Source organism: Homo sapiens, chromosome 11 (genome assembly GCF_000001405.40).
Source record: "Homo sapiens chromosome 11, GRCh38.p14 Primary Assembly".
Lineage (NCBI taxonomy): Eukaryota > Metazoa > Chordata > Mammalia > Primates > Hominidae > Homo > Homo sapiens.
In genome coordinates, this window is record NC_000011.10 from 63107568 (window position 1) to 63122318 (window position 14751).

At 39.3% G+C, this 14751-nt stretch overlaps 1 protein-coding gene and 1 pseudogene across 2 annotated transcripts in view; both read right to left on the minus strand.

The window, feature by feature from the left end:
* The window catches only part of SLC22A24 (solute carrier family 22 member 24), a 64282-nt gene that overhangs the window by 27628 nt on the left and 21903 nt on the right, over window positions 1–14751 (minus strand). Inside the window, exons 3-4 of one of the 2 annotated variants that reach the window (NM_001136506.2) lie at window positions 11614–11768; window positions 11345–11513 (exon numbers count right to left, since the gene is read on the minus strand). In NM_001136506.2, the coding sequence (NP_001129978.2) occupies window positions 11345–11513; window positions 11614–11768 (324 nt within the window). Of the gene's footprint in view, window positions 1–10953; window positions 11514–11613; window positions 11769–14751 lie in introns of those variants that run through there. The other variant, NM_173586.3, reaches the window with a different exon arrangement.
* RPL29P22 (ribosomal protein L29 pseudogene 22) lies at window positions 8200–8816 on the minus strand (annotated as a pseudogene).

Sequence of the window (14751 nt, forward strand, 5' to 3'; positions counted from 1 at the left end):
GGAATGTTTTTCCACTTGTTTGTGTCCTCTTTTATTTTTTTTGAGCAGTGGTTTGCAGTTCTCCTTGAAAAGTACTGTCACATCCCTTGTAAGTTGGATTCCTAGGTATTTTATTCTCTTTGAAGCAATTGTGAATGGGAGTTCACTCATGATATGGCTCTCTGTGTGTCTGTTATTGGTATATAGGAATGCTTGTGATTTTCGCACACTGATTTTGTATCCTGAGACTTTGCTGAAGTTGCTTATCAGCTTAAGGAGATTTTGGGCTGAGACAATGGGGTTTTCTAGATATACAATCATGTCATCTGCAAACATGGACAATTTGACTTCCTCTTTTCCTAATTGAATACCCTTTATTTCCTTCTCCTGCCTAATTGCCCTGGCCAGAACTTCCAACACTATGTTGAATAGGAGTGGTGAGAGAGGGCATCCCTGTCTTGTGCCAGTTTTCAAAGGGAATGCTTCCAGTTTTTGCCCATTCAGTATGATATTGGCTGTGGGTTTGTTATAAATAACTCTTATTATTTTGAGATACATCCCATCAATACCTAGTCTATTGAGAGTTTTTCGCATGCAGGGCTATTGAATTTTGTCAAAGGCCTTTTCTGCATCTATTGAGATAATCATGTGGTTTTTGTCATTGGTTCTGTTTATGTGATGGATTACATTTATTGATTTGCATATGCCGAACCAGCCTTGCATCCCAGGGATGAAGCCGACTTGATCGTGGTGGATAAGCTTTTTGATGTGCTGCTGGATTCGTTTTGCCAGTATTTTATTGAGGATTTTCATATCAATGTTCATCAGGGATATTGGTCTAAAATTCTTTTTTTGTTGTGTCTCTGCCTGGCATTGGTATCATGATGTTGCTGGCCACATGAAATGAGTTAGGGAGGATTCCCTCTCTTTCTGTTTTTTATAATAGTTTCGGAAGGAATGGTATCAGCTCTCTTTGTACCTCTGGTAGAATTTGACTGTGAACTTGTCTGCTTCTGGACATTTTTAGTTGGTAGGCTATTAATTATTGCCTCAATTTTATAGCCTGTTATTGGTCTATTCAGAGATTCAACTTTTTCCTGGTGTTTAGTCTTGGGAGGGTGTATGTGTCCAGGAATTTATCCATTTCTTTTAGATTTTCTAGTTTATTTGCATAGAGGTGTTTATAGTATTCTCTGATGGTAGTATGCATTTCTGTGGGATCAGTGGTGATATCCCCTTTATCATTTTTTTTTGCATCTATTTGATTCTTTTTTTTTTCCTTTTGTCTTTACATTTCTTTTTTTTTATTATTATTATACTTTAAGTTTTAGGGTACATGTGCACATTGTGCAGGTTAGTTACATATGTATACATGTGCCATGCTGGTGTGCTGCACCCACTAACTCGTCATCTAGCATTAGGTATATCTCCCAATGCTATCCCTCCCCCCTCCCCCCACCCCACAACAGTCCCCAGAGTGTGATGTTCCCCTTCCTGTGTCCATGTGTTCTCATTGTTCAGTTCCCACCTATGAGTGAGAATATGTGGTGTTTGGTTTTTTGTTCTTGCGATAATTTACTGAGAATGATGATTTCCAGTTTCATCCATGTTCCTACAAAGGACATGAACTCATCATTTTTTATGGCTCCATAGTATTCCATGGTGTATATGTGCCACATTTTCTTAATCCAGTCTATCAGTGTTGGACATTTGGGTTGGTTCCAAGTCTTTGCTATCGTGAATAATGCCACAATAAACATACATGTGCATGTGTCTTTATAGCAGCATGATTTATAGTCCTTTGGGTATATACCTAGTAATGGGATGGCTGGGTCAAATGGTATTTCTAGTTCTAGATCCCTGAGGAATCGCCACACTGACTTCCACAATGGTTGAACTAGTTTACAGTCCCACCAACAGTGTAAAAGTGTTCCTATTTCTCCACATCCTCTCCAGCACCTGTTGTTTCCTGACTTTTTAATGATCGCCATTCCAACTGGTGTGAGATGGTATCTCATTGTGGTTTTGATTTGCATTTCTCTGATGGCCAGTGATGGTGAGCATTTTTTCATGTGTCTTTTGGCTGCATAAATGTCTTCTTTTGAGAAGTGTCTGTTCATGTCCTTTGCCCACTTTTTGATGGGGTTGTTTGCTTTTTTCTTGTAAATTTGCTTGAGTTCATTGTAGATTCTGGATATTAGCCCTTTGTCAGATGAGTAGGTGGCAAAAATTTTCTCCCATTTTGTAGGTTGCCTGTTCACTCTGATGGTAGTTTCTTTTGCTGTGCAGAAGCTCTTTAGTTTAATTAGATCCCATTTGTCAATTTTGGCTTTTGTTGCCATTGCTTTTGGTGTTTTAGACATGAGGTCCTTGCCCATGCCTATGTCCTGAATGGTAATGCCTAGGATTTCTTCTAGGGTTTTTATGGTTTTAGATCTAACGTTTAAGTCTTTAATCCATCTTGAATTGATTTTTGTATAAGGTGTAAGGTAGGGATCCAGTTTCAGCTTTCTACATATGGCTAGCCAGTTTTCCCAGCACCATTTATTAAATAGGGAATCCTTTCCCCATTGCTTGTTTTTGTCAGGTTTGTCAAAGATCAGATAGTTGTAGATATGCGGCGTTATTTCTGAGGGCTCTGTTCTGTTCCATTGATCTATATCTCTGTTTTGGTACCAGTACCATGCTGTTTTGGTTACTGTAGTCTTGTAGTATAGTTTGAAGTCAGGTAGCATGATGCCTCTGGCTTTGTTCTTTTGGCTTAGGATTTATTTGGCAATGCGGGCTCTTTTTTGGTTCCATATGAAGTTTAAAGTAGTTTTTTCCAATTGTGTGAAGAAAGTCATTGGTAGCTTGATGGGGATGGCATTGAATCTATAAATTATCTTGGGCAGTATGGCCATTTTCACGATATTGATTCTTCCTTCCCATGAGCATGGAATGTTCTTCCATTTGTTTGTATCCTCTTTTATTTCATTGAGCAGTGGTTTGTAGTTCTCCTTGAAGAGGTCCTTCACATCCCTTGTAAGTTGGATTCCTAGGTATTTTATTCTCTTTGAAGCAGTTGTGAATGGGAGTTCACTCACGATTTGGCTCTCTGTTTGTCTGTTGTTGGTGTATAAGAATGCTTGTGATTTTTGTACATTGATTTTGTATCCTGAGACTTTGCTGAAGTTGCTTATCAGCTTAAGGAGATTTTGGGCTGAGACGATGGGGTTTTCTAGATATACAATCATGTCGTCTGCAAACATGGACAATTTGACTTCCTCTTTTCCTAATTGAATACCCTTTATTTCCTTCTCCTGCCTAATTGCCCTGGCCAGAACTTCCAACACTATGTTGAATAGGAGTGGTGAGAGAGGGCATCCCTGTCTTGTGCCAGTTTTCAAAGGGAATGCTTCCAGTTTTTGCCCACTCAGTATGATATTGGCTGTGGGTTTGCCATAGATAGCTCTTATTATTTTGAAATACATCCCATCAATACCTAATTTATTGAGAGTTTTTAGCATGAAGGGTTGTTGAATTTTGTCAAAGGCCTTTTCTGCATCTATTGAGATAATCATGTGGTTTTTGTCTTTGGTTCTTTTTATATGCTGGATTACATTTATTGATTTGTGTATGTTGAACCAGCCTTGCATCCCAGGGATGAAGCCCACTTGATCATGGTGGATAAGCTTTTTGATGTGCTGCTGGATTCGGTTTGCCAGTATTTTATTGAGGATATTTGCATCAATGTTCATCAAGGGTATTGGTCTAAAATTCTCTTTTTTTGTTGTGTCTCTGCCCGGCTTTGGTATCAGGATGATGCTGGCTTCATAAAATGAGTTAGGGAGGATTCCTTCTTTTTCTATTGATTGGAATAGTTTCAGAAGGAAAGGTACCAGTTCCTCCTTGTACCTCTGGTAGAATTCGGCTGTGAATCCATCTGGTCCTGGACTCTTTTTGGTTGGTAAGCTATTGATTATTGCCACAATTTCATAGCCTGTTATTGGTCTATTCAGAGATTCAACTTCTTCCTGGTTTAGTCTTGGGAGAGTGTATGTGTCGAGGAATTTATCCATTTCTTCTAGATTTTCTAGTTTATTTGTGTAGAGGTGTTTGTAGTATTCTCTGATGGTAGTTTGTATTTCTGTGGGATCGGTGGTGATATCCCCTTTATCATTTTTTATTGTGTCTATTTGATTCTTCTCTCTTTTTTTCTGTATTAGACTTGCTAGTGGTCTATCAATTTTGTTGATCCTTTCAAAAAACCAGCTCCTGGATTCATTAATTTTTTGAAGGGTTTTTTGTGTCTCTATTTCCTTCATTTCTGCTCTGATTTTAGTTATTTCTTGCCTTCTGCTAGCTTTTGAATGTGTTTGCTCTTGCTTTTCTAGTTCTTTTAATTGTGATGTTAGGGTGTCAATTTTGGATCTTTCTTGCTTTCTCTTGTGGGCATCTAGTGCTATAAATTTCCCTCTACACACTGCTTTGAATGTGTCCCAGAGATTCTGGTATGTTGTGTCTTTGGTCTCGTTGGTTTCAAAGAACATCTTTATTTCTGCCTTCATTTCGTTATGTACCCAGTAGTCATTCAGGAGCAGGTTGTTCATTTTCCATGTAGTTGAGTGGTTTTGAGTGAGATTCTTAATCCTGAGTTCTAGTTTGATTGCACTGTGGTCTGAGAGATAGTTTGTTATAATTTCTGTTCTTTTACATTTGCTGAGGAGAGCTTTACTTCCAACTATGTGGTCAATTTTGGAATAAGTGTGGTGTAGTGCTGAAGAAAATGTATATCCTGTTGATTTGGGGTAGAGAGTTCTGTAGATGTCTATTAGGTCCGGTTGGTGCAGAGCTGAGTTCAATTCCTGGGTATCCTTGTTAACTTTCTGTCTCGTTGATCTGTCTAATGTTGATAGTGGGGTGTTAAAGTCTCCCATTATTATCGTGTGGGAGTCTAAGTCTCTTTGTAGGTCTTCTTTCTTCTTTATTAGTCTTGCTAGCAGTCTATGAATTTTGTTGATTGTTTCAAAACACCAGCTTCTGGATTCTTTGATTTTTTGAAGGATTTTTGTGTCTCTATCTCCTTCAGTTGTGCTCAGATCTTAGTTATTTCTTGCCTTCTGCTAGATTTTGAATTTGTTTGCTCTTGCTTCTCTAGTTCTTTCAGTCTGCATCTTTTAACTGGGGCATTTAGCCCATTTACATTTAAGGTTAATATTGTTACGTGTGACTCCCAGCACTTTGGGAGGCTGAGGCAGGTGGATCACGAGGTCAGGAGATTGAGACCATCGTGGCTAATATGGTGAAACCCCGTCTCTACTAAAAAATACAAAAAAAATAGCAAGGCATGGTGATGAGTGCCTGTAGTCCCAGCTACTCAGGAGGCTGAGGCAGGAGAATGGCGTGAACCCGGGAGCCGGAGCTTGTAGTGAGCCAAGTTTGTGCCACTGGACTCCAGCCTGTGTGACAGCAGACTCTGTCTCAAAAAAAAAAAAAAAAAAAAAAAAATATATATATATATATATACATATATATATATACATATATATACACATATATATACATATATATATACATATATATACACATATATATATACATATATATATACACATATATATATACATATATATATACACATATATATACATATATATATACACATATATATATACATATATATACACATATATATATATACATATATATATATATACACACATACACACACACACGTATAGTTACATGTGACTTTGATCCTGTCGTTATTATGTTAGCTAGTTATTTTGCCTGTTAATTGATGCAGTTTCTTCATAGCATCGATGGTCTTTACAAGTTAGCATGTTTTTGCAGTGGCTGGTACCGTTTGTTTCTTTCCATGTTTAGTGCTTCCTTCAGGAGTTCCTGTAAGGCAGGCCCATTGGTGGCAAAATCTCTCAGAATTTGCTTGTCTGTAAAGGATTTTATTTCTTCTTCACTTATGAAGCTTAGTTTGGCTGTATATGAAATTCTGGGGTTGAAAATTCTTTTCTTTAAGAATGTTGAGGCCGGGCACAGTGGCTCACACCTGTAATCCCAGCACTTTGGGAGGCCGAGGTGGGCAGATCACGAGGTCAGGGGATCGAGAACATCCTGGCTAATGCAGTGAAACCCCATCTCTACTAAAAATACAAAAATTAGCTCGGCATAGTGGCACATGCCTGTAGTCCCAGCTACTTGAGAGGCTGAGGCAGGAAAATCACTTGAACCCAGGAGGCAGAGATTGCAGTGAGCCAAAATTGTGCCACTACACTCCAGCCTGGGCAACAGCGTGAGACTCCATCTCAAAAAAAAAAAAAAAAAAGGAATGTTGAATATGGGCCCCCTCTCTCTTCTGGCTTTTTGGGTTTCTGCCGAGAGATCTGCTGTTAGTCTGATGGGCTTCCTTTTGTGGGTAACCCGACCTTTCTCTCTGGCTGCCCTTAACATTTTTTCCTTCACTTCAACCTTGGTGAATCTGACAATTGTGTGTCTTGGGGTTGCTCTTCTTGAGGAGTATCTTTGTCATGTTCTCTGTATTTCCTGAATTTGAATGTTGGCCCTCCTTTCTGGGTTGGGGAAATTCTCCTGGATAATATCCTGAAGAGTGTTTTTCCAACTTGGTTCCATTCTTTCCGTCACTTTCAGGTACACCAATTAAACATAGATTTTGTCTTTTCACATAGTCCCATATTTCTTAGAAGCTTTGTTCACTTCTTTTTACTCTTTTTTCTCTAAACTTGCCCTCTCACTTTATTTCATTAATTTGATCTTCAATCACTGATACCCTTTCTTCCACTTGATTGACTCGGCTATTGAAACTTGTACATGGGTCATGAAGATCTCATGCCATGGTTTTCAGCTCCATCAGGTCACTTAAGGTCTTCTCTACACTGTTTAGCCATCATCTAATCGTTTTTCAAGGTTTTTAGCTTCCTTGTGATGTGTTAGAATATGCTCCTTTAGCTCGGAGAAGTTTGTTATTATTGACCTTCTGAAGCCTACTTCTGTTAACTCATCAAAGTAGCTCTCCATCCAGCTTTGTTCTGTTGCTTGTGAGGAGCTGCAATCCTTTGGAGGAGAAGAGGCACTCTGGTTTTTAGAATTTTCAGCTTTTCTGCTCTGTTTTCTCCCCATCTTTGTGGTTTTATCTACCTTTGGTCTTTGATTTTGGTGACCTACAGATGGGGTTTTGGTGTGGATATCCTTTTTGTTGATGGTGATGCTATTCCTTTCTGTTTGTTAGTTTTCCTTCTAACAGCCAGGTCCCTCAGCTGCAGGTCTGTTGGAGTTTGCTGGAGGTCCACTCCAGACCCTGTTTGCCTGGGTATCACCAGTGGAGGTTTTGCAGAACAGCAAATATTGCTGCCTAATCCTTCCTCTGGAAGCTTCGTCTCAGAAGGGCACCTGCCTGTATGAGGTGTCTGTCAGCCCCTACTGGGAGGTGTCTCCCAGTTAGGCTACATAGGGTTCAGGGACCCACTTGAGGAGGCAGCCTGTCCATTCTCAGAGCTCATACACTGTGCTGGGAGAACCACTGGTCTCTTCAAAGCTGTCAGACAGAGACGTTTAAGTCTGCTGAAGTTTCTGCTGCCTTTTGTTCATCTATGCCCTGCCCACAGAGGTGGAATCTAGAAAGGCAGTAGGCCTGGCTGAGCTGTGGTGGGCTCCACCCAGTTCGAGCTTCCTGGCCACTTTATTTACCTACTCAAGCCTCAGCAATGGCAGACACCCCTCCCCCCATGAGGCTACTGCCTTGCAGGTCGATCTCAGACTGCTGTGCTAGCAGTGAGCAAGGCTCCGTGGGCATGGGACCCAGTGAGCCAGGCATGGGAGAGTATCTCCTGGTCTGCTGGTTGCTAAGACCTTGGGAAAAGCACAGTATTTAGGCAGGAGTGTCCCATTTTTCCAGGTACAGTCTGTCATGGCTTCCTTTGGCTAGGAAAGGGAAATCCCCCAACCCCTTGCACTTCCCAGGTGAGGCAACACTGCGCCCTGCTTCAGCTCACCCTCCATGAGCTGCACCCACTGTCCAAGCAGTCCCAGTGATATGAACAAGGTACCTCAGTTGGAAATGCAGAAATCACCCATCTTCTGCATCGATCACACTGGGATCTGCAGACCAGAGCTGTTCCTATTCGACCATCTTGGAATGGAAGACCCGGTTTTGTTTTTTTTATATGGGCAGATGTAGAATTCTCTGCTGACAGATTTTTTTTTTCAGGTTTACTTGTACAAATAGCACCAGAGGACCCCAGCCCCATGCAGATGGCAGCCTATTGGGGAGGTTGCACCATTCCTTCTGTCCTCACCTTGGTAGACAGAGATATCCACTCTGAAGTCTTTGTAGGGGCTTGGGCACCTTTGGGAGCCTGAGCTGGAACTGAAGCTGGAGCTGCAGCCTGGGCCTTGGTTTGACCCTTGGCCTTTGGCTGGCACTGCCCGAGCCCCTTGACAACATGGGCAAGAGCCTACTTCCCAAGCTTGAGGTGGGCAATGTAGGCAAGTCAATCGAGCTTGTTGCTGACACTCTTTGGGATCTTGAGCTTAACTTCCTTGGGCTTTATGAGGGCCTTGATAGCCTTGGCATGTGCACTCATGGCCTTGGCATTGTTGACCTGCATCTTCTTTAGGCCCTTCTTGATGTGCTTCTTGGCAAAGCGCATATTCTTCAGGAACTTGGGGTCCACACCCTTAAGAGATTCATATCTTTGTGATCAGGGTTTCTTGATACCATTTCTGTGCCATTTTTCGGACTGGTTGTGTTTGGTATGGTTCTTGGACTTGGTTATGTCTGCACCTTAAGCCGCAGCTCCCAAAGCACCTAGAACCAGAAGGCTCTGGCAGATTTTTTTTTCAACACTTTGAATAATTAATCCCACTGCCTTGCAGACTCTGTTTTCTGTTGATAAATCAACTATTAATCTTATTGAGGATCTCTTTTCCATGATGAGTTAGCTTTTCTTTTGATGGTTTTAAAAATCTTTCTTTGGATTTTGGTAGCTTGATTATACTGTGTCTAGGTATGGATCTTTTCAGTTTATCTGAATTACAGTTTTTGAATTTCTTGGGTGTGTAGATTAATGTTTCCAACATATTTGTTTTATTAGCCATTATTTTTAAAAATATACTTTGTTCCTTTTTCTCAGCCCTCGCCTTCTGGGACTACAAAATGCATATGTTGATACCCTTGATAGAGTCTCACATGTCCTCAAAACTCTGCTCCTCCTTACTTATTTTATTCACTAAACTGGATAATCTCAACACTGTCTTCAAATTTACTGCTTTTTTTCTGCCTGCCCAACTCTTCTGTTTTGACCATCCAATAAATTTTCACTTCTGAACATTTCAACTCTAGAATTTCTATTTGGCTCCTTTTAAACATTTCCATCTTCAATGATGTTTTCTATTTGGAGACATCTTTTTTTTGTATTTTTTTGTTACTTATTTAGACATGGTTTTCTTTAATTCTTGAGCATATTTAACTTAGTTGATTCAAATCCTATGTCTCATAAGCCAACATCTGGCTTGTCAGGTATAGTTTGTACTGATTGCCTTTTCTTCCTGTGTAGAAGTCATGCTTTCATGTTTTCTTCCATGGCTCCTTTGTTGAAAACTAGGCCTTTTAAACATATAATGTAACAATTCTGGAAATCATATTCTTCCCTCTTTCTCAATGTTTGTTGTTGTTGCTCCCTGTTGTAGTGATTGTTTGTTTGGTTAGTGGCTTTTTGTTAACGAATTCTGTAAAATCAGTATTCGTCATGTGTGGCCACTGAATCTCTACTTGGTTAGCTTAGTGCTCAGCTATTAAGTTAGTTGTCTGCAACCAATACTTCTCCCAGTCTTTATTGAGAGGCTCTGAGTATGTGACACTCAGTCAGGCAGTTTACATCTCTGCCTTAGCCTCCACCAACTGCATATGCAGAGCCCCAAGATCATCCAGAGGTGAGAGCTTAGGGACTTCCCCTTTCACCTCATCTACCTCTTCTATCTTTGCCACCCCTGAGATGGCAAGACCAACTCCTCCTCTTCTTTCCTCTCCTCAGCCTACTTAACATGAAGATGTTAAGGATTAAGACCTGTATGATAATCCATTTCCACTTAATGAATAGTAAATACATTTTCTCTTCCTTACGCTTTTCTTAATAACATTTTCTTTTCTCTAGCTTACTTTACCATAAGAATATAGTATATAATGCATATAACACACAGAATATGTGTTAATAACTGTTTATGTTATTGTTAAGGCTGCCAGCCAAGAGTAGGCTATAAGTAGTTCAGTTTTTAGAGTCAAAATTTATATGCAGATTTTTGAGTGCATGGGGTGTTGGCGCCCCCAACACTCTGCACTGTTCAAGGGTCAACTGTATTTTGTTCCTCAGCTTCTAATTTTCAACTCTTTGTTAATTATATTATTTTCCCAAATTGTTATCCATCACTTCAGACAGCTGTGACCTCAAAACATTTGTCAGTAAATATGTTTGACAAATGCCTTATGAGGGGAGCCTTCTCACACTAGGCAACTTTGAGTCAGGTCAAATAGAGACAGCCTTCCAAATAGGGTCTTAGGGGAGCCAGCAGAAAGGTATAATAATGACAGCTTTTTGTGAATGAGGTTTTGAAATAACTCAAGCTCTGTCCTCCTCCCTCTAGTACCAAGAATGTTAGCTGTTATTTTTTTTTCAAGGCTGCAGCATAGCTGGAGAGTAGGAACTGAAACTAAGATATGTTAAAAACATCCCAACATTCACTTTCTTACTGGGACTCAGTTTTTCTTCAACAAAAGATTCCCTAAATTGCTGCAAGTCTTTGGTTAATTTTCAGAGTTCTGAAAGAGATGATTTTGACAACTTTTTGCTAGTTTTGTGTTGCTTTTATGGAGGAACCAATTTTTGGAGATCCTACTCTGTCAAGTTCCCTGAAGTCGCCCCCATCCTAACTCTTGGTGCTAGAGACAGCATGCTCTTCTAATTTTAAATAGTTATGTAGATAAATTTATTGTGTTTTCCTTATATTCAATCTCAGTTACAATGACAAAAGCCCCCAAATTATCTCCATCACATAATATTCCAAAAGTTAGATAAATAATACATTTGCTTCAAAAATAAGTGGGTATTTTTTCTATTAAGAAAAATAATTTCATGATAATTCCATGTCTAAAATAATGAATGCAAAGTGCCAGCCTCCCCACATATAGTGTCATCCTATTCCATTGTTTGCTTCTCAGGTGACACAATAGGTACTATGGACATCATGGCTCAGGACTAGGCCAGAGACCGAACAGATCCCAGGTGTCAGAATTTTCCTTTCTATGTCTACCATAGCCTCGCTTACAGGCAAAGAATGTGGAGATTGTTCATACCAAGAGGACAAGAAGAGGACAATTATGGGTGTAGACACAGTCAGTTGCAATATGTGCCAGTCCTGAATGGCAAAAGCCAGCCCTCCTAGGAGCATCTGCCCAACACTGTAGGAACATAATAGCACCATTATTGTCATAGATCGTGACCGGGGCAATGTCCACTCTAAGCCTGGAAGAAAACATATACATAGTAATAATTTTAGACAAATGGTAATTTCAAGGTCAATTCAAGACATGGAGATGATAAAATGCTCAAATTATTGACTTACTGAGAATAAAAGTGTTTCCCAAAATAGTCATGGTGGAGAACCCTGCCAAGAAGCGCAGTATGCAGTAAACAAGGAAGGTGGGAGCGAAGGCCGCACAGGTGTTAGAGATGGCCAGCTGGAGGAAACACAATTTGCATATGATCTTCCGTCCAACCCTAAGAAATATTAAACCAGATAACGTTACTTAGGAACAAAAATAACACGTGGAAAACTTGACAAACAATGGCGCATCTTGAAATTAGGATAAATGTTTAACAAGTGGAACATGGTGCTTGACACCGGGTGGCATAATTATATTAGTGAGCAGCAAAAATCACAGATGTAACCCTCCCTATTTGTCAGTATGAGAGTGTTGTCAAAGCTCTCACCAAACCATCACTGGAAGGACTCTTTCGCCATATGAAGCCATATAAAAGAAGATGAAATATGGGAAGTTGTCCCATATTTCCCAAATGTTTATTCTACAAAACATATGCATTTAGGATAGTGGATATGTGTGTTGTGTTTAGAGCACTGAGGAGGGAAATCCAGAGATCTGTTCTTGGGTCTCTGCACTGTCCAGGTAAAAGCTAAACTTATTTGAAAGGAAGAGTGGAAAGACAATAAATCAAAGTTGCAGATAGGCTGCATAACAATCACTCAGCTATGTCTAGATTTACAGGCTTGGGAAATGTGTTTCAGCTCTATAGAAAACAGTTCAGCATTTTTTCATGTGTTTTTTGGCTGCATAAATGTCTTCTTTTGAGAAGTGTCTGTTCATGTCCTTCGCCCACTTTTTGATGGGGTTGTTTGTTTTTTTCTTGTAAATGTGTTTGAGTTCATTGTAGATTCTGGATATTAGCCCTTTGTCAGATGAGTAGGTTGTGAAAATTTTCTCCGATTTTGTAGGTTGCCTGTTCACTCTGACGGTAGTTTCTTTTGCTGTGCAGAAGCTCTTTAGTTTAATTAGATCCCATTTGTCAATTTTGGCTTTTGTTGCCATTGCTTTTGGTGTTTTAGACATGAAGTCCTTGCCCATGCCTATGTCCTGAATGGTAATGCCTATTCCCACTCATAGGTGGGAATTGAACAATGAGATCACATGGACACAGGAAGGGGAATATCACACTCTGGGGACTGTTGTGGGGTGGGGGGAGGGGGGAGGGATAGCATTGGGAGATATACCTAATGCTAGATGACGAGTTAGTGGGTGCAGCGCACCAGCATGGCACATGTATACGTATGTAACTAACCTGCACAATGTGCACATGTACCCTAAAACTTAAAATATAATAAAAAATAAATAAAAAAAAAGAAAAAGAAAACAGTTCAGCAACTGTTCCCCTCAGTGCAGAAACTGGTAGAAAGTTTACAGAGGAGAGGATGAGGTAAGGCAGAGAATGAGAAACAAAGAAGGGGAAGATAAACAAATAGAAAAGAGCAGTATGTGTGTCACAGACTGGCAGGAAGGGCAGGCACCCTTTCTAGAGTTAACTTTGACCAAATTACATGAGTTGATACTAAATTCTCAGTAGTATTAGCATACAAACAAACTTTAGTTTTGGACACCTGTTCTGTAATTTTTGTTACCCTAGTAGTATATTTATGTCATGATTACTCTTATAAAATGTCTTACTTTCTGAATGTTTATATAGAATATATTTTATTACTAAATTTGTATGAGGCAACTTAGAATAGAATTATCTTTAAAAAAAGATCTATGATACAGGACATGATGGAGAAGGAATCATTGGAAAACTGAGAAATAGAAACACAATAAGTACAATGAGAATGTATATATCCTCAATAAAAATCTCATGGTAGTGGTTGCCCCCAGATAAGAGGGAGGGATAAATAGGTATATGTAGCACAGGACATTTTTAAGGAGATACTCTGATGGTAGATACATGATATTATACTTTTGCCAAAACCCATAACACTGTACAACACAAACACTGAGCCCTAAGATAAACTATGAACTTTAGTAAATAATGTATGAATATTGGTCTATCAATTGTAATAAATGTATCACACTAGTGCAAAATGTTGGTAATATGGGAAACTTTGTGGAAGGGATTATATGGGAACACTCTACTTTCTACTCATTATTTCTGTAAACCTAAAATTGCTATAAAAATTAAAGCCTATTAGTAAAAAAAATTCTCATAGTAAAGAAACACATATCGAGATGTTAATATTAGAAATAGATGTGTTGTTAGGAATACTGTTGTTAGGAATTCATCACTGGAAATGAGAATAGGAAAAAATTGTTGGGGGATCACTATGAAGAACTATGAAATAGTTTGAAGCAGCAGACTAGATATGCACATGAAACTAGAGGTAGATCTCAAAAACTTGGTGAATGACAAAGGTTAGAAAGAGATTGGATACTTTTTATGTAAATTAAAATACCTGCATACCCAATGATATCACACATTTTTTTTTGCTTTAAAAAATTTTTTATTTTACTTTTTTTAAGTTTAATTTTATTATTATACTTTAAGTTTTAGGGTACATGTGCACAATGTGCAGGTTAGTTACATATGTATACACGTGCCATGCTGGTGTGCTGCACCCATTAACTCATCATTTAGCATTAGGTATATCTCCTAATGCTATCCCTCCCGACTCCCCGCCACCCCACAACAGTCCCCGGAGTGTGATGTTCCCCTTCCTGTGTCCATGTGTTCTCATTGTTCAATTCCCACCTATGAGTGAGAACATGCAGGATATCACACACTTTTTTTAGCTTGAAGAAATAAAAACATTAATAATAAACACATGAGAAAGCCCTTTATGGTGAAAGATGGGAATAGAAACAAATGGGGTAGACATGAAGAGTTATACAAGTATGAAAGAGGCCTTGCCCAAATTAACGAAGATATTACCTCATCAATAAGGAAAATGATTAACTGAATCATTTTCATTCATTAAAAGTACAGATGGTACAGAGTCTGGCTAGATATTTACCATCATTTTTCTTTTTAAAGGCCTATTGGAAGAAAGCATTTCTTGTAATTCAATGTAGTTACCATGGGGATTTACTTGGATGTGGCAAGTAATATACGCTAACTCCAGACCTGACCATAAAAGGTCCACTGTAGTCTCACACGCTCTTTCATAGAAATTAAAGACCTGCAATAAATGGCCCTGGTTCTC